The sequence below is a fragment of the Homo sapiens genome, chromosome X (genome assembly GCF_000001405.40).
Source record: "Homo sapiens chromosome X, GRCh38.p14 Primary Assembly".
Classification (NCBI taxonomy): domain Eukaryota; kingdom Metazoa; phylum Chordata; class Mammalia; order Primates; family Hominidae; genus Homo; species Homo sapiens.
The window spans coordinates 2,593,587-2,615,455 of record NC_000023.11 but is presented as its reverse complement, the minus strand read 5'-3'; the positions used below and the strand labels follow the sequence as shown (position 1 = coordinate 2,615,455).

At 46.4% G+C, this 21,869-nt stretch overlaps 2 long non-coding RNA genes, 1 other non-coding gene and 1 pseudogene across 7 annotated transcripts in view, besides 1 other annotated feature; 2 read left to right on the top strand and 2 right to left on the bottom strand.

Moving 5' to 3' along the window:
• The window catches only part of CD99P1 (CD99 molecule pseudogene 1), a 47,965-nt pseudogene extending 41,774 nt beyond the window's left edge, over positions 1-6,191 (bottom strand). For both annotated transcript variants that reach the window (NR_033380.1, NR_033381.1), the window contains exons 1-3: positions 5,975-6,191; positions 4,418-4,460; positions 3,238-3,306 (exon numbers count right to left, since the gene is read on the bottom strand). The product of NR_033380.1 is annotated as a CD99 molecule pseudogene 1, transcript variant 1 (transcript). The remainder of the gene's footprint in view (positions 1-3,237; positions 3,307-4,417; positions 4,461-5,974) is intronic.
• Positions 109-2,465, top strand: LINC00102 (long intergenic non-protein coding RNA 102). Its single transcript, NR_037842.1, has 2 exons — positions 109-739; positions 1,760-2,465. It is a non-coding gene; the product is annotated as a long intergenic non-protein coding RNA 102 (long non-coding RNA).
• Positions 6,192-6,201: 10 nt separating the features above from the next.
• Positions 6,202-6,265, bottom strand: MIR6089 (microRNA 6089). The gene has a single exon (NR_106737.1). It is a non-coding gene; the product is annotated as a microRNA 6089 (primary transcript).
• A 23-nt stretch (positions 6,266-6,288) lies between these two features.
• The window catches only part of LINC03112 (long intergenic non-protein coding RNA 3112), a 43,139-nt gene continuing 27,558 nt past the window's right edge, over positions 6,289-21,869 (top strand). For all 3 annotated transcript variants that reach the window (XR_001755779.3, XR_001755778.2, XR_001755777.2), the window contains exon 1: positions 6,289-6,350. This is a non-coding gene — a long non-coding RNA (long intergenic non-protein coding RNA 3112). The remainder of the gene's footprint in view (positions 6,351-21,869) is intronic.
• Positions 6,394-6,918: an enhancer, noted in NCBI's record as "H3K4me1 hESC enhancer chrY:2476579-2477103 (GRCh37/hg19 assembly coordinates)". NCBI's record gives its function as "activates a minimal SCP1, AML or CMV promoter by ChIP-STARR-seq in primed H9 embryonic stem cells {active_cell/tissue: H9 hESC(primed)}" and the evidence as "EXISTENCE:reporter gene assay evidence [ECO:0000049][PMID:30033119]".

Sequence of the window (21,869 nt, the reverse complement as noted above, 5' to 3'; positions counted from 1 at the left end):
CCAATATGGTGCCCTTGTATGCACAGGTCCCTGTGTGACATCACATGTCACATGCCCATGAAGTCTGACCTGGCCAGGGAAGTGACATTTGCCTTATATCATTCCAAAGTCTGTAACAATTTTAAAATAAAAGCCAGCATATTGGTGGGAAAAAAAACAAAAATCCAACAACAACAAAAATAAAACACAACAAGGCATATACTTCCAATATTTCCACTGTATAAACCCAATCCATGGATTATGCAAAAGAGATAAGTCTCTTGGAAATGACAGTCATTTGGTGACAATAACAAATCAGCAACAGAGGAGACTTTAACGAGTTACTCACTGTTTCCTCCCTCACCAAAGGCATCTGCTAAGTCAAAGTCTGCCCCTAAAGGAAGGAATCGGTCTGTTCATAGTAAAGCTCTGAGAAATGAGGAAGGAATGACCTCGGAAACAGATGGAGAAATCACCAGAGACCCACATGACTAAAGACTTTTCTGAATATCACACTGACTAGGATCTCATTTGAAAAAGTAAATTCCTGATCATTTTCACATCATTCTTCCCCCAGATGAAAAGAGTAAGAGATGACAGCAAGAGAAAGAGGGAGAGAGAAAGAATGTCATTTGTAAATCAACTGTGCTGCCTGGACCCAGTTGGGACTCTGAATCTGCCTGCACACAACTCTGTCCCGTTGATTCCCCATTATCTCCTCCCAGGTCCCCAACACCTTCAGCAAGGCAGACCGTAAGAGGTAGGGCAGGTGACTGTGATCTGATCTGTGACTGACGGATTCTGATCTGTGTCTGAAAAGTGGCTCTACCCACCCAGCTGGGCTCCACAAACTAATGTGACATTCATGCTAGTTTCAAAGCCAGCCTTCTAGTTCTTTTTTTTTTTTTTTTTCATATGGAGTTTTGTCCTTTTGCCTGGCTGGAGTGCAGTGGTGTGATCTCGGCTCACTGCAACCTCTGCCTCCCGGGTTCAAGCCATTCTCCTGCCTCAGCCTCCCGAGTAGCTGGGATTACAGGCATGCACCACCATGCCAGGATAATTTTTGTATTTTTAGCAGAGGCAGGGTTTCTCCATGTTGGTCAGGCTGGTCTTGAACTCCTGACCTCAAGTGATCCAGCCGCCTTGGCCTCCTAAGGTGCTGGGATTACAGGTGTGAGCCACCTTACCTGGCCCAGCCTTCTAGTTCCAAGCTTTTCAAATCCCAATTAAGGTCGAGGCACATTTTATATTGGGAGTGATAAGGGAGGCTCAAATGAAAGAAACATGAGGGGCTACATCAAAATGAATCTTTTTTTCAAAACCATATTAAAATACACAAGCAATGAATAAAAAGCACATGATTTTTCACATACATTGTATAGAAATAAGAAATCTCATGGTATGAGAACCTATGTGTTCAGAAAAAAAGTATACTAGAAGAGAAAGACACTTATTGAAATGACTTATTTTATTTAAAGGTGAATCTCTTTGGGTTTTTGTCCTAATGTCTGGAAAAAAAGTTGTCTACCATATTTACAACTCTACATATTAAAAGTTGTCCTGAGTCTTCTAGCAAAGGCCATAGAACTAAATTACAAATAAACTGTAAAGAGAACGTATAAATCTAGGAACAGGGAAAATTTTAAAAACCCATTACCAAATAACATGACCAACTTCTTAGAAAAGGTCAGAAATGAAGAGAAAAAAAATTGAAATTTAACAAAGGGTCATCATTTCATGGATTGCAAAAAATATATACACAATCTCTTCTACATGACAGAAATAAACAGAAAAATAGTGGACATGAAAATGGATTCAGAGTAACAAAAACAAGGAAAAAACACTTTAGAAACCCATTGACAGAATCAACAAGAGGAAGAGACAAATCGAATCTCAAAGAAAAAGCTCAGGCCGGCATGGTGGCTCACACCTGTAATCCCAGCACTTTGAGAGGCTGAGATGGGCGGATCACCTGAGGTCAGGGGTTCAAGATCAGCCTGGCTAACATGGCAAAACCCCGTCTCTACTGAAAATACAAGAATTTGCCGGGCATGGTGGTGCATGTTTGTAATCCTAGCTAATTGGGAGGCTGAGGCACGAGAATTGCTTGAACCCAGGAAGTGGAGGTTGCACTGAGCCAAGATCACGCCACTGCACTCCAGCCCGGGCGACAGAGAGAGACTCTGTCTCCAAAATAAAAAAAGGAAAGAAAATAAAAGAAAAAACTCAACATTGAAAACGTGTTACCATTCCTTCAATCAACCTATGGTGATAAACAATTCAAATGAAATTAAAAAGAAGGTTTTACTTCTCTGAAGAGAAGGGACAATAGCAAAATGATTCTCAATTTAAAAGGAAAAAAAGTTACAAAAAGCAGGATATCCACACAAACATAAGACACCATAAAAAAATAAACATACCACTTGTAAAACATTCCTGTTAAAAATATTCAAAGGCAAAAATAAAGTGCAAAACCATTTTCATAATAAGTGGCTGGTAATCTTTAATATTGATAAATCACTGAAGAAGGCTCATACATCAGTAGGTAGGGAGGCTGAGGCAGGCAGAACATCTGAGGTCAGGAGTTCCAGACCAGCCTGGCCAACATGGTGAAACCCCATCTCTACTAACAATACAAAAATGAGCTGGGCCTGGTGGCGGGCACCATGAATTGAAGGATCAAAGCCAAAGCATCCAATACACAAAAGAAGAAGTCTCCGTGGCCCATTGGGATGCATTATGCTTTTTACATTTCAGAATGAGAGATGTAAAACTAAGACCGGTTTGATATAATAATTACACTATTTGACAAAGGTTTTGTAGGTGATAATTGCTACTGGAAAAGGTTCGAAGACAGGGACATTTGCAGACACCCTGGTATCAAATCAAATTGGTGCAATTCTGGGGCAAACAACCAACCAGGTTAAAAGCTATAAAAGTACTCATGAGCATTGATCTAGACAATTTGAATGCCAGAAATCTCTTCAAAGGAATGAAAAAGAGTAGACAAAGTTGACTCAAATTGGCTTTGTAATTCATAATTCTAAAATGTCAGAAGACACAATGTTTTCAACATTAGGGATTAAAGGAATTAATGTATTTTATTATATATTTAGATAGAATAGTATTTGTCAGTAAATGTCATATGATAGAAATGAGAAAACATGAGAAAATGTGAATTAATATTCTTATGAATAAGTATAAAATAAAGTTACAATAAACAATATAGAGACCACCCGTAGGGTTAGAGGCTCTTACCAGTGAAACCAGGTCGGTTGGGGTTTGGATCTGGCTTTGGTTTGGGGGCATTAGGTGGTGCTGGGTCACCTGTTTGTAAAACATGAGAGTTGCAATCATCAGTACCTAGTAGTCAAGAAAATGAAAAATCAATTTCCATAGCGACCAGAAAATGAAAAATCAATTTTGATAGCGACCAGAAAAGAAAATGAAAAATCAATTTCCACAGCGACCAGAAAATGAAAAATCAATTTCCATAGCGATGAGAAAAGAAACTGAAATATCAATTTGCACAGAGACTGTTCACTAAACAGGTAAAAACTGGCCCTTGTTTTTGTCATGGTGGGGATACCCATACACGTAGCCTCCTGCCAATTCCCTTCTGTTGTCTTCCAGGTACAGGATTTAACTTCAAGTATTTTCAAAGAAAACTAAACCAGGTGTGCAGACCACCTCCAGAATTTGGGAGGGCCTGTGAAAATGAAAATGTGCGACCCATTGTTCCAACTGTATGAAGAATCTGAAGATGGCAGCAACACAGCAATAAAGCAGCATGGCACCCTTGTGTGCACAGGTCCCTGTGTGACTGCGCAGATCTATGCCCACGAGGCCTGACCTGGCCAAGGGAGTCACATTTGCCTTACGTTGTTCCAAAGACTAACCATTTTAAAATAAAAGCCAGCATACTGGCTGGGCGTGATGGCTTGCACCTATAATCCCAGCACTTTGGGAGGCCAAGGTGAGTGCATAGCTTGAGTTTAGGAGTTAGAGACCAGCCTGCTCCACATGGCAAAACCCAGCCCCTACTAAAAAGACAAAAATTAGCCGGGCGTGGTAGTGGGTGCCTGTAATTCCAGATGCTCAGGAGGCTGAGGCACAAGAATCGCTTAAGCCCAGGAGGCGGAGGTTGCGGTGAGCCGAGATCGCGCCACCGCACTCCAGCCTGGGCCACAGAGTGAGACTCTGAACCTACACTTCAAAAAAAAAAAAAAACAAAAAAAACAAAAAAACCAGCATGCTGGTAACAAAAAAAAAATATATCAAAAATCCAACAACAAAAATAAACAACACATATACTTCCTATGTTCCCACTGTCCAAACTCAATCCATTTATCACGCAAAAGAGATGTCTTGAAAATGATAATAATTCAATGACAATCAGCAAAGTCAGCAACAGAGGAGACTTTAAAAAGTTACTCACTGTTTCCTCCATCAGGAAAGGCATCGCTAAGTCAAAGTCAGCCCTTAAAGGAGGGAAATGAGCTGTTAATACCAATGTTCTGAGAAATGAGGAAGGAATGACCCAAAAACAGGTGGAGAAAACACCACGGCCCCACGTTTCTAAATACTTCAGAAAACGTGAATTCCTATCTTCTCATCACTCTTCCCTCAGGTGAAAACAGTAAAAGATGAGCATGAGACAGAAAAAGAGGGAGTAAGAGAGAGAGAGGAGAGAGAAAGAGGGGGAGAGAGGAGATAGAGGAGAGAAAGAGGAGAGGGAGGAGAGGGGGGAGAGAGAGAGGAGATAGATGAGAGAGGCGGGAGAGAGACAAGAGAGAGAGGAGAGAGAAGGAGAGAGTGAGGAGATAGAGAGAGGAGAAAGGCGAGAGACAAGAGAGAAGGAGACAGGAGAGAGAGAGATGGGAGAGAGAAAAGAGGAGAGAGAGGAGAGGAGAGAGAGAGGAGAGAGGAGAGGAGAGAGAGACGAGAGAGAAAAGGAGAGAAAGAAGAGGGGGAGAGAGAGAAGAGGGGGAGAGAGAGAAAAGGGGAGAGAGGAGAGAGGTGAGAGAGAGGCGAGAGAAAGAGGAAAGAGGGGAGAGAGAGGGAGAGAGGAGAGTGAGGAGAGAGAAAAGCGAGAGAAAGAAGAGAGAGAAGAGAGAGAGGGAACAGGAGAGAAGAGAGAGAGAGGAGAGGAGAGAGAGAGGAAGAGGGAGAGAAGAGGAGAGAGAGAAAGGAAAGAGAAGAGAGGAGAGACAGAAAGAGAAGAGAGACTGCAGTATCCATAAGATCCATAAGAACGTCACCAGGGTTGGGGGGGAATCGGATGCCACCTCTTCCCCAGGTTCCCCTAAATTTAAGAGTTTGCGATTCTGCAAACTGTAGAAGGAAAATTAAAACTTGGAACCCCAGTTCACTCTGCCAAAATAATTAATAATAATAATAATAAAGCTGGAAGCTGAGTCAGGCAGGAAGCTGTCTTTCCTTCTGTTCCCAAGCAGACAGTGCAATAACTCTCTGTTGACCTTATCTTAGTAAAGTGCCAATTTAGTGAGCGCAAGACAAATACATAATTGACTATTCTACCTGCTGCTTTTCTTTTGCAACAGGTGAATTCGGTAAAATGAGCCTTCCTCCTTCTTTCCCCTCCAGCGTGCTTTCCCCCTTTAAATACCGAAGCTCTCAATAGTATCTTTGGAGAAAGGCATAGACCCGTCTCCCGGGCTCCTTCCTGATCTTCGCCGAATCAACTCAAAAGGATTGGGACTTGTCCCAGATACTTTTTGGTTTACGAAAGAAACGCTGGCTTTTTCCTCTGAAACGGCTCCCACCTGGCCCCAGGAAGAGCGCTGGGGAGAAAGTGGGCGCCTCCTCCGGACCTGGGTCCCCGTGGGCACAGCGCGTCCCGCCGGGCACGGAAGAGGGGCCGGGTGTCCCCGCGGGGCGCCCCGCCCCTGCACCCCACATCCCCAGGCGGATCCCCAGGCCCAGCCCGCGCCACCCCCCGCGTCCTCCCACCCGGATCCCGCCGCTCGCTCACCGGGGCGGCCACCAGACGGCGGAGCAGGCCGAGGAGCCGCAGCGCCAGCACGGCCCCGCGCGCCACGGCGCGCCCAAGGCGAGCAGAGATCGTCCGCGAGTGCAGCGCGCGGGCGAAGGCGGCGGGACGGAACCTCCCCCACGGGCCGGGTGGGGCGGAGCCCGCGGAGGACTCGAAGGGGTTGGGTGAGGGGAGCAGCCCTGCAAACTCAGCCCAGGCTGCGCCTGCCCCGCCCCGCCCCACCCCGGCCTCCACTGGCGCACGGAAGGGGAGGGAACGCCGGGCCCGGGGAGGGGACAGAGGAGGGGGCGGGCGGAGGTGGCTCGGGCCGCGCCGAGGGGACCACGGGACGCCCTCCTTCCCTTCTCAGGAAACTGTGAGTGCCCCCCGCCCACAAGCCCGTCGCCAGGATGCCGCCAACTAGAGCAAAGTGAAACCCCCAACATTCTCGGGAAAGTGCGGGTCCCTCCCTCTCTACAGCCCCTTAAATGCACGCCCCAGGGCGGCCCCTACCTGGAGCCAAGAGAAACCGCTGCCCTTCTTGGAGAGGTGTGGGCCTCTCCGCGCCCGCCCTTGCTGTCCCCTCTCTGTTCCTAACAGGCACCCCCCCCAGGCAGCCCCAACGGGGAGGAAATGAAACTCTTCCTGCTCCTCTGCTCGGAAAACTATGGGGCCCCCTTCCAGCTGCTCACGGGGCGCTCAGGGCGATCCCCAAGGGGTGCAAAGTGCAATCCCCTCCCTGCTTAGAAAGGCGTAGGCCTTGACAGGCAGCCACGGCCCCTGGTCCTTTCTGGAGCGTCCGAGCTGGGGGCGCTCAGTGGTGAAAGATGGCGGGGGTGGGGGGCTTTGAGACACACTGCGGATACCCGCTCTGCGCGGGACCAAGGACGTTCTGCCGCAAGCTCAGAGACAGGGTTGGGAGTGAGGACTTGTGGTCGTGGTTTGGGGTTGGGGGTAAGACCCCTATCTGGGTCGCCTGGCTGAGTCCTGGTCCTTGGCGACTCACCCCAGCAGGCTGCGTCAGGGGCCCTTCGGTAACACTGGTCTTGTGCTGTCTCAGGCCTGCGGGTGACTCCGTCTCTCCCCAGGCCACCTGTGCCCCTGGATCAGACACAGGCAAGGCCAGAGGGGCTGGCCCCGCACCCTGGGGCCCACCTCAGGGGTTTGAGGAATGCAGCAGTCTAACTATGCACTCCACTCCTGGAGGCAGAATCATTTTTCTTTTTTCTTTCTTTTTTTTTTTTTTTTGGTCTTTGCTTCATCCTGAACCTGCCTGGGATAATGACGTGATGGCTGGAGTCCCAGCAGCCAGTTCGAAGCAGGAAGTCTCCTACAGGATAGAAGTTGTCTGTGTGTTGTTTGTTTGTTTATTTGTTTGTTTTGAGATGGAGTCTTGCTCTGTGGCCCAGGCTGGAGTGCAGTGGCACAATCTTGGCTCACTGCAACCTCCGCCTCCCGGGTTCAAGTGATTCTCCTGCCTCAGCCTCCCCAGTACCTGGGATTACAGGCATGCACCACCATGCCAGGCTACTTTTTGTATTTTTAGTAAAGACAGGGTTTCACCTTGTTGGCCAGGCTGGTCTCGAACTCCTGACCTCATGATCCGCCCACCTCGGCCTCCCAAAGTGCTGGGATTACAGGCATGAGCCACCGCACCCGGCCAGAAGTTGTATTCTAAGCATGGCAGAACACGTTGAGCAAAGGTATCAGGGTGGCTGATGATACAGCAGGACGGCTGTGCCAGCCCGACTCACATTCCCAACTTCTTTTACAGGACAAAGGAGTACATTTTTATCTTACCATTTGCTAAAGTTAGGTTTCTATCAGCTTTCTTTAAATCACTTTTATTTCTGGTTTTCATTACCAAGGTCTGAGCCCAACTTAGAGACCTCCCGTGAGGTTCTTGTGGGCAACCAAAGCACTTAAGAGGTGTCAGAGCATCACACACCATGTCTGCTGCACAGACGATCAAATGAAGCTTTTGAAGTCAGTGGATGATGGGTGGATAGATGGGTCTGGGGGTAGGAAGTGGTGGATGGATGAATGAATGGACAGACAGCCATCTGGATGCGTGAATGGATGGATCACTTGCTGGAAGGATGGATAAAGAGATAGATGGCTGGATGAATGAATAAATGGGTGGATGGATGGAAAGATGAGTGGATGATTGGATGGATAGATAGTTGGGTGGATGGATGAATGGATGGATACATAGATGAATAAATGGATGAATGGATGGGTGGGTGGAGGAATGGATAAATGGACAGATGAATAAATGGATGGATGAAAGGGGGGATAGACGGATTGATCTATGGATAGATGGACAGATAGATAAGTGGGTGGATGGGTGGGTGGATGGATGGTTGGAAGGATAGGTGGATGGACAGATTACTGGGTGGCTGGAGGGGTAGAGAGAGATGGGTGGGTGGGTGGATGGATGGATAGATGGGTGGACAGATTACTGGCTGGCTGGATGGATGGGTAGAGATAGATGAGTGGGTGGATGGATGGATGGATGGATGGACGAATGGATGGATGGATAGATAAGTGGACAGACGGATAGATAGCTGGATAGATGGGTGGGTAGAAGAAGAATAGATGGATGAGTGGATGGATGAGTGAATAGATGGATTGATGGACAAACAAGTAAATTTTTACCTGACATTTTTGTATTGTGTAACTTTCTGTGTGTTCATTCATTGGGAAACAATTGTGATACATGGATATTGGACTTATTAGCTCACGTCTGCTGATAAGAAAACAACACAGGGCCATAGAGTTCATTAGCAGTGGACTGGGATCAAAACGAAGGGCTCTTTGATTTTGAGTTCAGGCCATTTGGACCACTTTGCCTTGTGACTGCCCCCAAATCACTGGAATTTTCCTCGGGGTTCACAGCGCCCAAAGGTAAACAGTATTTGGTAGCCTAGAGTTCATACATTGGAAATTTCATGGTCTGTGCCCCCTCAGTGGTGCAAAGCATTTTTACAGCAATAATTAATTTGGCAATAACTTAGTGTGTGAGCCTGTGTATGCGTCTTTTCAGCTGGCTAGTACAGTACCAGTGATGCCATGTTTGCACACTAAATACCAGCCAGAGACATGCAAGAAAAGAAGGGCAGGCCAGGCACAGTGGCTCATGCCTGTAATCCCAGTACTTTGGGAGGCCGAGGTGGGTGGATCACCTGAGGTCAGGAGTTCGAGACCAGCCTGGCCAACATGGTGAAGCCCCATCTCTACTAAAAATGCAAAAATTAGCTGGGCATGGCAGTGAGTGCCTGTAATCCCAGCTACTCTGGAGGCTGAGGCAGGAGAATCACTTGAACCTGGGAGGCGGATGTTGCGGTGAGCTCAGATCACACTACTACACTCCAGCCTGGGCGACAGAGCAAGATTACATCTCAAAAAAAAAAAAAAAGAAGAAGAAGAAGAGGGGCACAGCCTACCAGATCTGCTGAGACACATGTTTTTTATCTGAACTTTTGGGGGTCAACTCAAAATCCAATCAACAGATGACAATGACATCCTAAAAACTGTTCCCAGATCAGACAGTAAAATTTCACAGATTCTGTCTTTGAGTCATGGGGATTTACGTCTCTGTAGATTCAGGAGAAACATCTCATGCATACAGTTCCAGAGAGTCAGGGACCAGCCTCTTCTGTAAAGAGGGAAACAAAATGAAATTGCGCATTGGCATGGACCGGACGCAAGAAGACATCACTGATTTAAGCTCCTTTACAAACTCTATCCTAGGAAGCACTTTCCTTCTTCACTTTCAGCAGTCAAGCCTCTCCAATGTCATTGCGTCTAAACCTGTTGACATGATGGGGCTGTGGTTCACCTGGAAGATGGGCTCTATTCCTGACCATTCTGAAGGCAAAGAACTTGAAATAAGTTCAAATTCAAGTTGCAGCACATCCACGGAGCAGCTGGAAGTGCTGCCTGTGGCCTGTCGTAATGGCAGGGTAGCAGTGAGAGAGAAATATATTTCCTCACCCATCATTGGGTTCATGACTAAGGCCCCTAGAACAAAAGACAATAGCAAGAGAAAAGCAGGCCCATGTATTTAGGTTTTACGTGACACAGAAGCCATCATAAAGAAAGAAACAGGAAAATCTGAGTATTTTTACGCTTAGGTTTTCTGGTTTTTTGTTTGTTTGTTTGTTTGTTTTTGAGACGGAATCTCACTCTGTCACCCAGGCTGGAGTGCAGTGACGGGATCTCAGCTCATTGCAACCTCCACCTCCTGAGTTCAAGCGACTCTTACCATGTTGGCCAGGCTGGTTTCGAACTCCTGACCTCAGTTGATCCACCCACCTCGGCTCCCAAAGTGCTGGGATTACAGATGTGATATGCTTACTTTTAATGAAGAGTGGACAGTGATGGAGAAGTATGACTATTGGACAAAAACGTTACAGGAATGGGGTCCCAATCCAGACCGCAAGAGAGGGTTCTTGGATCTCAAGCAAGAAAGAATTCGGGGTGAGTCCATAGAGTAAAGTGAAAGCAAGTTTATTAGGAAACAAAAGGAATAAAGAATGGCTACTCCATAGAGCAGCCCCGAGGGCTCCTGGTTGCCCATTTTTATGGTTATTTCTTGATGATATGCTAAATGGGGGGTGGATTATTCATGCCTCCCCTTTTTAGACCATGTAGGGTAACTTCCTGACGTTGCCATGGCATCTGTAAACTGTCATGGTGCTGGTAGGAGTGTAGCAGTGAGGACGACCAGAGGTCACTGTTGTGGCCATCTTGGTTTTGGTGGGTTTTGGCTGGCTTCTTTACTGCAACCTGTTTTATCAGCAAGGTCTTTATCACCTGTATCTTGTACCAACCTCCTATCTCATCCTGTGACTTAGAATGCCTTAACCATCTGGGAATTCAGCCAAGTAGGTTTTAGCCTCATTTTACCCAGCTCCTATTCAAGATGGAGTGGCTCTGTTTTACATGCCTCTGGCAAAAGGATCTGATCTAATGAGAATAAACTGCGGGAACTTAGCAGGGCCTGTTTGTTCAGATTCTTCTGTGTCCCTGCATGTTCAGAGTTAAGGATATTCTCTTCCTCCTGGTATAGGGAGGGCGCCTCTGGAATGAGGGTCCCCTGACCTGCTTCAGGGTAAGGTCAGAGAGTCCTTCCGAGGTTTTATGGCCTATGCTAAAGAAGAACCATGAGGGTAAGGTGAAAGTGACCTTCTTACTTAAATTGTTTTCTCAAATGCCACAGTTCCATATTTTGGTGGAATGTTTTCTGAACCCCATCAGGAAAAGCAAAGCAATGAGAAAACAATCTGGGGGGACAAGACAAGGAGATATAACAGATGGGGGAGGTTTGTGGTTGACTACATCACTCTTGGAGGCATTCGACCGAGGAATATTTCAGAATCTCTGGTAACACACACCAGGAACAGCCTAATCTACTCCCTAAAAGGAGTCTAGTTCATTACTGAGTTTATGGCTTCCCTACATTTCCCTGTTTCTGACCACAACCATTTTTTTTTTTTTTTCTGGAGACTGGGTCTCCCTCTGTCGCCCAGGCTGGAGTGCAGTGGCGCAATCTCGGCTCACTCCAACCTCCGCCTGTCGGGTTCAAGCGATTCTCCTGCCTCAGCCTCCCGAGTAGCTGGGAGTACAGGCATGCACCACCACGCCCAGCCAATTTTTATATTTTTAGTAGAGATGGGGTTTCACCATGTTGGCCAGGCTGGTCTCAAACTCCTAACCTCAGGTGATCCCTCTGCCTCGGCCTCCCAAAGTGCTGGGATTACAGGCGTGAGCCACCATGCTCACCTCCCCCGCCTGCCCAATTTTTTTTTTTTTTTAATTAGCCAGGCATGCTGATTGCTTGAGCCTGGGAGATGAAGACTGCAGAGATGTAATTGCACCACTGCACTCCAGCCTGGGCGACGGAGACCCTATCTCAAAATACAACCAAATAAAACAAAAAACAAGAATGCAGACTCAGAGTCCAGCCAAAACCAGGTTTTAGCTGCAAGACAGGTTATAGGAAGGAGAAAGGAAAAGGCTTTCCTAGCAAAAGTGGGCTTGTTATGTACATGCAGCTTCACAGGTAGCAGCCCCCAGAGAGAAGAGATGCTGAATATTTCTTTTCAGGTCTTTAAAGGCACCATACTCTCAGTTAATCTCTCCTAGATCCGGACAAGAGAAGAGTTGGCTGCCTTACAGGAGACCCTCTGCAGATCGACAGACGCAAGGTCCCCCACAAAAGACAGTGTTTCTTCTTCTTTTTTGTTTTTCTTCAAATTTTATTGTAAATTCAAGGGTGCACGTGCAGGTTTGTTACTAAGTAAACATGTGCCATGGTGCTTTGCTGCACAGATCAACCCGTCACTCAGGTATGAAGCCAGCATCCATTAGCTCTTCTTCCTGAGGCTCTCCCTCCCCCTACCCCCGACCTTTTCACAGACCCTAGTGTGTGTTCTCCTCCCCGTGTCCATGTGCTCTCATTCTTCAGCTCCCACTTATAAGTGAGAACATGCAGTATTTTATTTTCTGTTCCTGCATTAGTTTGCTGAGGATAACGGCTTCCAACTCCATCCGTGTTCCTGCAAAGGACACGAACTCATTCTTTTGTATGGCTGCATAGTATTCCATGGTGTATATGTACTATTTCTTTTTTTTCTTTCTTTCTTTTTGAAATAGAGTCTTGCTCTGTCACCCAGGCTGGAGTGCTGTGGTGCAATCTCAGCTCACTGCAACCTCCGCTTCCCGGGTTCAAGCGATTCTCCTGCCTCAGCCTGCCAAGTAGCTAGGATTACAGGCACCCACCATCACACCCAGCACATTTTTGTATTTTTAGTAGAGACGGGGTTTCACCATGTTGGCCAGGCTGGTCTTGAACTCCTGACCTCAAGTGATCTGCCCGCCTCAGCCTCCCAAAGTGCTGGGATTACAGGTATGAGCCACTGTGCCTGGCCACCGCATTTTCTTTATCCAGCCTATTATTTAGGCATTTAGGTTGATTCTATGTCTTTGCTATTGTGAACAGCGCTGCAATGAACATACGCATGCGTGTATCTTTATAATAGAATGATTTTTCCTTTGGGTACATACCCAGTAATGGGATTGCTGGGTCAAATGGTAATTCTGCCTTGAGGTCTCTGGGGAATCGCCACACTGTCTTCCACAATGGTTGAATTCATTTACACTCCCACCAACAGTGTCACAGTGTTTCTATTTCTCCACAACCTCGCCAGCACCGGTTGTGTTTTGACTTTTTAATAATCACCATCCTGACTGGTGTGAGATGGGGTCTCATTGTGGCTTTGATTTGCATTTCTCTAAGAATCAGCGGTGCTGAGGTTTTTCCATATGTTTTTTTTGGCCATATGAATGTCTTCTTTTGAGAAGTGGAAAGATAGCATTTCAGGAGTATTCCCCAATATATTAAAGAAATATATTTTGAGATAAAATATTTTTATTTCCTTTAGTACATTTTATTTATTTATTTATTTTTCTTTGAGACAGGGTCTTGCTCTGTCACCCAGGCTGGAATGCAGTGGTGTGATCTTGGCTCTCTGCAACCTCCACCTCCCGGGTTCAAGCAATTCTCCTGTCTCAGCCTCCCAAGTAGCTGGGATTACAGGTGCCTGCCACCACAGCTGGCTCATTTTTTTCTATTGTTAATAGAGATGGGATTTTGCCATGTTGGTCAGGCTAGTCTCAAACTCCTGACCTCAGGTGATCAACCCGCCTCCCAAAGTTCTGGGTTTACAGGTGTGAGCCACTGTGGCCAGCCTGTTTCTTTTCTTATACAAACAAACCTATAATGGTAAGGTTTAATTTATGAATTAGGCACAGTGAAAGATTAACAACAACAGACTAATAATAAAATAGAACAATTACAACAATATACTGTAGTAAAAGTTATGTGAATGTAATGTGCTCTCTCTCTCTTTCATGTGTGTGTCTCACTCTCTCTCTTGAAATATCTTAGTATTTTCAGCCATAGTTGACCAGTGATAACGGAAACCACATGTTGTAGGCTGTTCTTGCATTGCTGCAAAGAAATACCAGAGACTGGGTAATTTATACGAAAAAAAGAGGTGGGCCGGGCACGGTGGCTCACGCCTGTAATCCCAGCACTTTGGGAGGCTGAGGCGGGAGGATCACTTGAGATCAGGAGTCTGAGACCAGCCTGGCCAACATGGTGAAACCCTGTCTCTACAAAAAATACAAAAAATTAGCCGGGGGTCATGGTGGGTGCTTGTAATCCCAGCTACTTGGGAGGCTGAGGCAGGGGAATCGCTTGAACCTGGGAGGTGGAGGTTGCAGTGAGCTGAGATCACACCACTGCACTCCAGCCTGGGCGACAGCAAGACTCCTGTCTCTCTCACACACACACACACACACAAAGGAGGTGTAATTGGCTCATGGTTCTGCAGGCTATGGAGAAAGCACGGCACCGGCATCTGCTCAGCTTCTAGGGCCTCAGGAAGCTTCCAGTTATGGTGGAAGATGAAGTGGGGGTAGGCACATCACACGGGAAAAACAGGAGCAACACGGGGGTGGTGAGGGTGCCACAGCACTAAAACAGCCAGATCTGGCAAGAACTCACTCACTATTTCGAGGACAGAAGTAAGCCATGAGGAATCTGCCCCCATGACCCAAACACCTGCCACCAGGCCCACCTCCAGCATTGGGCATGACAATTTGACATGAGATTTGACAGGGACAAATATCCAAACTCTTTCACCGTGGAAAGCAAAACCACAGATGGGGCGGGAGGGCTACTGTACATTGTGCAGAAATGCAGCTCCTCGGAGCCGGCTGGGGGAAGGAGCAGGTCTCTCAGCTGCTGAACAGTTTTGGGAGATTACCTACCATCACTTCTCTCTGTCCCAGAATCACACAAAATGGTCAGCTGTGCCAAGTGCCTTGCCCAGTTCTCTGCACCTTTCCTTCTGTCTCCTTCCACGTGTGACCACCCCCTTCACCATCCTGTCGTCGCGTCTAAAGCTCCCTCCACACATTGCGTGATAGCCAGTAAGTCTAGACACAAGGTGTGAAGGTAAGGACAGCAACTTTATTTTGAAGAACCAGCAAGTCAAGAAGACAGAAGACTGCTGTCCTAAAAAGCCATCTTTTTTTTTTTTAATTTATTATTATACTTTAAGTTCTGGGACACACGTGCAGAATGTGCAGGTTTGTTACATAGGTATGCATGTGCCACGGTGGTTTGCTGTACCTGTGAACCCATCATCTAGGTTTTAAGCCCCGCAGGCATTAGGTATTTGTCCTAATGCTGTCCCTCCCCTTGCCCCCCACCCTGCAACAGGCCCCGGTGTGTGATGTTCCCCTCCCTGTGTCTATGTGTTCTCATTGTTCAGCTCCCACTTATGAGTGAGAACATGTGGTGGTTGGTTTTCTGTTGCTGTGTTAGTTTGCCGAGAATGATGGTTTCCGGCTTCATCCATGTCCCTGCAAGGGACATGAACTCATTCTTTTTTACGGCTGCATAGTATTCCATGGTGTATATGTGCTACATATTCTTTATCCAGTCTATCACTGATGGGCATTTGGGTTGAAAGAACCATCTTAATAGAATTTTAGGCTGCTTTTATGCCAGGGGGAGAGGGAGGGTGGTAGAGGGCAAGAGGTGAGCAATGACCACAGACATCTGGGCGGCTATTATGGTCCAAGGGGCCTTGTGGAACTTCCTCATCCTTGGTCAGGTCACAGTGCTCTTATAAATCTTTGACATAACATTGTTCCTTCTGCGCACATCCTCCTGATCCCCTCGGGGGTTATTTTTGGGAAGGGACTATGATCATTCTTGCTTTAAAGTTAAACTGTAAACTGAATTCATGATTAGCTTGACCTATTTGTAGGAATGAGCAAATGCAGTTAGCTTGTGAGGTGAGAAGCAAGACAGAGTGAACTATGTTAGAATTTTCTCACTGTTACATTCACACATAGGTTCTTGGCCAAAGAAGCAGACGACCAACACATTCTCTCTTTTTTTTTTTTTTTTTGAGACGGAGCTTCGCTCTTGTCCCCCAGGCTGGAGTGCAATGGTGCGATCTTGGGTCACTGCAACCTCTGCCTCCCGGGTTCAAGCGATTCTCCTGCCTCAGCCTCCTGAGTATCTGGGATTACAGGTGCCCGTCACCACGCCTAGCTAATTTTTTATATTTTTAGTAGAGACAGGGTTTCACTATGTTGGCCAGGCTGGTCTCGAACTCCTGACCTCAAATGTTCCACCCACCTCAGCCTCCCAAAGTGCTGGGATTACAGATATGAGCCACCACGCCCGGCCCAACATGTTCTCTTGTTAGAGGCATTTGAACCAGAGCAACTCAATCTTGAATAGGAGCTGGGTAAAATGAGGCTGAGACCTGCTGGGCTGCATTCCCAGGAGGTTAGGCATTCTTAGTCACAGAATGAGATGGGAGGTCAGCACAAGATACAGGTCATAAAGACCTTGCTGATAAAACAGTTTGCAGTAAAGAAGCCGGCCAGAACCCACCAAAACCCAGATGGCGATGAGAGTGACCTCTGGTCATCCTCGCTGCTCATTATACCCTAATTCTAATACATTCGCTTCTCAAAAATACTCCCAACAGTGTTGTGACGGTTTACAAATGCCATGGCAACATCCAGAAGTTACCCTATATTGGCTAAAAGGGGAGGAACCCTCAGTTATAGAAACTCCCGTTTCCCAGAAAACTCTTGAATTTAGCATATAATATGGCATTCAGATTATATGCTAAATGCCCTTTGTTTAGCATATAATCAAGAAATAACCATAAGTATACTCAGTCAAGCAGCCCACGCTTCTGTTCTGTCTATGGAGTAGCCATTGTTTTACTCCTTTACTTTCTTTTTTTTTTTTTTTTCCCTGAGACAAGGTCTCGCTCTGTTACCCAGGGTGGAGTCCGTTGGCACAATCAGAGTTCACTGTAGCCTCAACCTGTTGGGCTTAAGCAATCCTCCCACCTCAGTCTCCCAAGTAGCTGGGACCATAGGTACATGCCACCACACCCAGCTAACTTTTTTATTTTTGGTAGAGACGGAGTTTTGTCATGTTGGCAAGGCTGGTTTCAAACTCTTGAGCTCAAGCATTCCGCCCATCTCAGCCTCCCAAAATGTTGGCATTACAGGCATGAGCCACCCTGCCCAGCCCTTTTACTTTCTTAATAAACTTGCTTTCACTCTGTGGACTTATCCTGAATTTTTTCTTGCATGAGATCCAAAAACTCTCTTGGGGTTTGAATTGGGACCCCTTTCCAGTAACACTTTGACTCCTCTCCTGTTCAGATGTCATCACTCCCTCCAGCAAACCTGGAGTGTTCAAACTCTTTTCCATCCATCCTTTCCTTTCAAGGCAAAGAGGCAACTTGGCTATTCTCATAGACACACAGATAGGAGATGTAGGAATTCATAGGAGACATTCAACTCAGATGTTAGATCTATTGATAAACAAGATGGCAGCTTGTCTTGCTGCTTAGATATAAAAGATGCTGTTGCTTGCTTGCAAAAAAAAAAATGAAGCACGTTCCTGGAGTTCACCAATATGGCGTGGACTTTACCTCCTCAACACTGTCAGTCAGTGCAAGATGGTCCAACCTCTGGGTGCCAAGACACGTGATCATTTTCCCAATGCCATTCTCTTATCCCTTGAGCCTGCTTTCCCACCTGCTAAGGTTTGGATCTGTGTTCCCACCCAAATGTTATGTCAAATTGTAATCCCCAACGTTGGAGCTGGGGCCCATTGGGAGATGGTTCGGTCATGGGGGTGCTTTTTCATGAATGGTCTAGCATCCTCTTCTTGGTGCTGTTCTCATGCTAGTGAGTGATTTCTCACAAGATCAAGTTGTTTAATAGTGTGTGGCACCTCCCTTCTCACTCTCTCTCCTGCTCCTGTTCTAACCATGTAAGATGCACCTGCTTGCCCTTTGCCTTCTGCCATAATTGTAAGTTTCCTGAGGCTTCCCCAGTCAGGCTTCCTGTCCAGCCTGCAGAACTGTGAGCCGATTAAACCTCTCTTCTTTATCAATTACCCATTCTCAGGTATTTCTTTATAGCAGTACAAGAAGAGCCGAATACACCACCCATTGAGCAGATTGGAAGTGCAAGAAAACTAGCATATGCCCCCATCCTGGAAGCAACCTCAGCCAACACATGTTGGGAAACGACAGAAAAAGACCCCGGCCTTCCTCACTCTTCCGGTGGGATGACCCTGAGTCTCCAAGCTCTCATTGCAGTCACTGGCCTGATAATATCTTCCACTCTCTGTCTTCACTCCCTCTCCCCTCCCACTGCTCCCTGGGACTCACCCCCGCCCACCCTCCCCAAACACAAAAGCTTTGCGGTAAAATCACGGTCTCAAGGTCTGCTTTGGGGAGAAAAGAGTCACCTCCTTGAAATCTAGACTTTCTGTGCTTCCAGAAAACATGTTGAAACGTTACCTGTCAATTAAATTCCGGGAAGCCTGGGTGTGTCACACTTTGAATCATGTGGACAGACACCATGAAGAGCCTGGAGTTTGGTGAACTTTGTTGAAACCCCTCCATCACTCTCGTGGTCGAATCCAATCCAATCCTCATGTCCTCATGAGTTCGTTTTCATTTCCTAAATGACATCCATGGAAAAATAATGGGGAGAGAGGAAACACAATTTTACATTTGTATCTGACAGGCTCTGAAAGGGAGCTAGAGAATGTAGTTAGCATCCATAAATTATGGAAGAGGGTATTTCCCATCTTCTTAACACATGCAACACTTCTAAGGGGCCTGCAAAAACCCCAGCAGCCTTTCAATGTCCCCCACATCTTAGCACACATAAATATTTACATCTGTCCTATCAAGAAACAAATATGCATGCATATCATTATTTTGGAGATATAGCGTGAGCACTTTGTTTGCAAGAAAAAAATATGCATGCATATCATTTTGGAGATATAGTGTGAGCACTTATATTTGTTTGCAAGAAACAAATATGCATGTATATCATTATTTTTGGAGATACAGTGAATGCACTTTTCAGTTACATGCTCAAAATGGTATGCTAAACTGAAAGTGGTTGTCATTACCCTTAATTTCTGCAAGGAATAAACAAGTATGTCCTGGTGGCACATTGCTATGAATAAAGCAGACTATTTCAGGGCTATGGGAGTTCTATGGAAAGCGTGAGCCAAAACATGGTTTTTCCTGTGTCTTGTTTATGATGCTTATTCATAATGGGAGGGAACAGAATATTGGCTTCATTCATGTCCTTGATTTATGATGGAATCCATAGGAATCTGCCACCTTGGGTGAATGAGCAATACCTAAAGGAATGTCCTATAAGATACCGAGATATGCCACCCAAAATATGACTTAGGAGACCAAGATACGCCACCCAAAATATGACTTAGGAGACCAAGATTGCGATTTTTATAAAAAGCTCATCAGCAATCATTAGGGTTAGTGGGCTTTTTTGGTTTTTTTTTTGTTTTTGTTTTTGTTTGTTTGTTTGAGACAGAGTCTCACTCTCTGTCACCCAGGCTGGAGTGCAGTGACATGATTTTGGCTCACTGCACACTACAACCTCCATCTCCCAGGCTAAACCAATTCTCGTGCCCCAGCCTCCCGAGTAGCTGGGAGTACAGGTGTGCACCACCGCACCTGGCTAATTTTTGCATTTTCCTTTTAGTAGAGATGGGGTTTCACCGTGTTGACCAGGCTGGTCTCAAACTCCAGGCCTCCAGGAATCCACCTGCCTTGGCCACCCAATGTGTTGGGATTACGGGAAGGAGCCACTGCACCTGGCCAGTGTATGTTTGTAAGGCTCACCCACACTGTAGCATGTGTCAGCACTTGAAACCTTTTTCTGCCTGAATCACATTCCACTGTATGGATATGCCATATTTTGTTAAATCCGTTCATTGGCTGAGGGACGTTTGGGTCACCTTCACTTTTTGGCTATTTTGAGTAGTGCAGCTATCAACATTACGTGTATAAATGTACAAGCTATTTGGTGGACACGTGTTCTCGTTTTTCTCTTGAGTATGTGCCCAGAAGCAGAATTGCTGGCTCATAGGGTGATGTGGTTTGGCTGTGTCCCCACCCAAATCTCATCTTGAATTCCCATGTGTTGTGGGAGGTAATTGAATCATGGGGACAGGTCTTTCCCATGCTGTACTCATGGTAGTGAATAAGTCTCATGAGATCTGATGATTTTATAAAAGGGAGTTTTCCTGCACAAGCTCTCTCTTTGCCTGCTACCATCCATGTAAGACGTGACTTGCTTCTCCTTGCCTTCTGCCATGATTGTGAGGCCTCCCCAGCCACATGGAACTATAAGTTCATTAAACCTCTCTTTCTTCTGTTAGTTGCCCAATTTTGGGTATGTCTTTATCAGCAGTGTGAAAACAAACTACTACATATGGTATGTCTTCGGTTAACCTTTTGAGGAAACATCAGACTCTTCCATCTCTGTATCTTTCCAATTTCAATCTAAACGGACTCAAATCTGACTCTTAGACTCCACTCCCCTGGGAAATGTGATGTCGGCTATTATTGCGGTTCCCTCTCCTCCCTAGAGTCTCCTAAGAATTTGGGTCATGCTCCATTTTCAGACAATTTGAAAATTGGTCTGTTATGGTCTCTGCTCTGAAAAGCTTCATTCTCATCCCACCTCCTGCCCCGGCTTCCAGCAGCCTCCCTTAAAATTCTGGGGATGCAGACATCTGTGCTGAGGCTGAGAAGCCAGGAGCCTGGAGACCAGCGTCCCTGGGCAGGTGCAGTGGAACCAGCTGGCCATGTGCCAAAATTCCTGTGACCCTTCCCTGGTACTGTGCTGTCTTTGCTGAGAGCTGGCCGCCTGCTCAGGGGTCCCTAAGTCTTACACTGGACAACTGGATGAGTGAGAAATAATTATTTAATTGTTAAGCCACAGAAATTCCAGGGCTCATGTGTTACAGCCAGTCATTTCTCATGAACTAATACAGTAGATGGCTTGGATCAACCCCCTCTGATGGGATGCTGCTTCTCTTCTCGGTTGGTGGAAAAAGAATTTCCATCAGTCTCTCTCTCCTTGTCTCTCTCTCTCTCTCTTTATTCCTTTTCCTTTCTGTCTCCATCTCCCTCTCCCTGACTCTTCTGGCCCCTCCCTACCATTGTCAGATAAAATATCAGGTTGCACACGGTAACGCACGTCTGTAATCCTAGCACTTTGGGAGACTAAGGCAGGAGGATTTCTTGAGTTCAAGAGTTCAAGACCACCCTGGACAACATAGTGATACCTCGTCTCTACAAAACAAACAAACAAACATATTAGCTGAGCATGGTGGCACACGCCTGTGATTTTAGCTGGTCTGGAGGCTGAGGTGGGAGGATTGCTTGCCCCCAGGATGTCAAGGCTGCAGTGAGCTGTGATGGCACCACTTCTTTCTAGCCTGGGTGACAGAACAAGACCCCCATTTCAAAAAAAAAAAGACACAACATCATCAAAAATTGTACTTAAATATAAAAGTTTGAATACTGAAAAGTCTCCCACAGCAAGCAGGCTTTAAAACTCCAAAATCTATCTGTACACAGCACTTTTTTTTTTTTCACTCTTCTCAGATCTAAGAACGATGACAGGTGGCCATGGTGCCTCGTGTCCCCTTGCAGGGGTGCAGGGGTACACACACCTTTTTTTTTTTTTTTTTTAATTTGAGATGGAATCTCGCTCTGTCGCCCAGGCTGGAGTGTAGTGGTGAGATCTCGGCTCACTGCAAACTCCGCCTTCCGGGTTCACGCCATTCTCCTGCTTCAGCCTCCCGAGTAGCTGGGACTACAGGCGCCCGACCATCACGCCAGGCTAATTTTTTGTACTTTTAATAGAGACGGGGGTTTCACCATGTTGGCCAGGCTGGTCTCGAACTCCTGACCTCGTGATCCTCCCGCCTCGG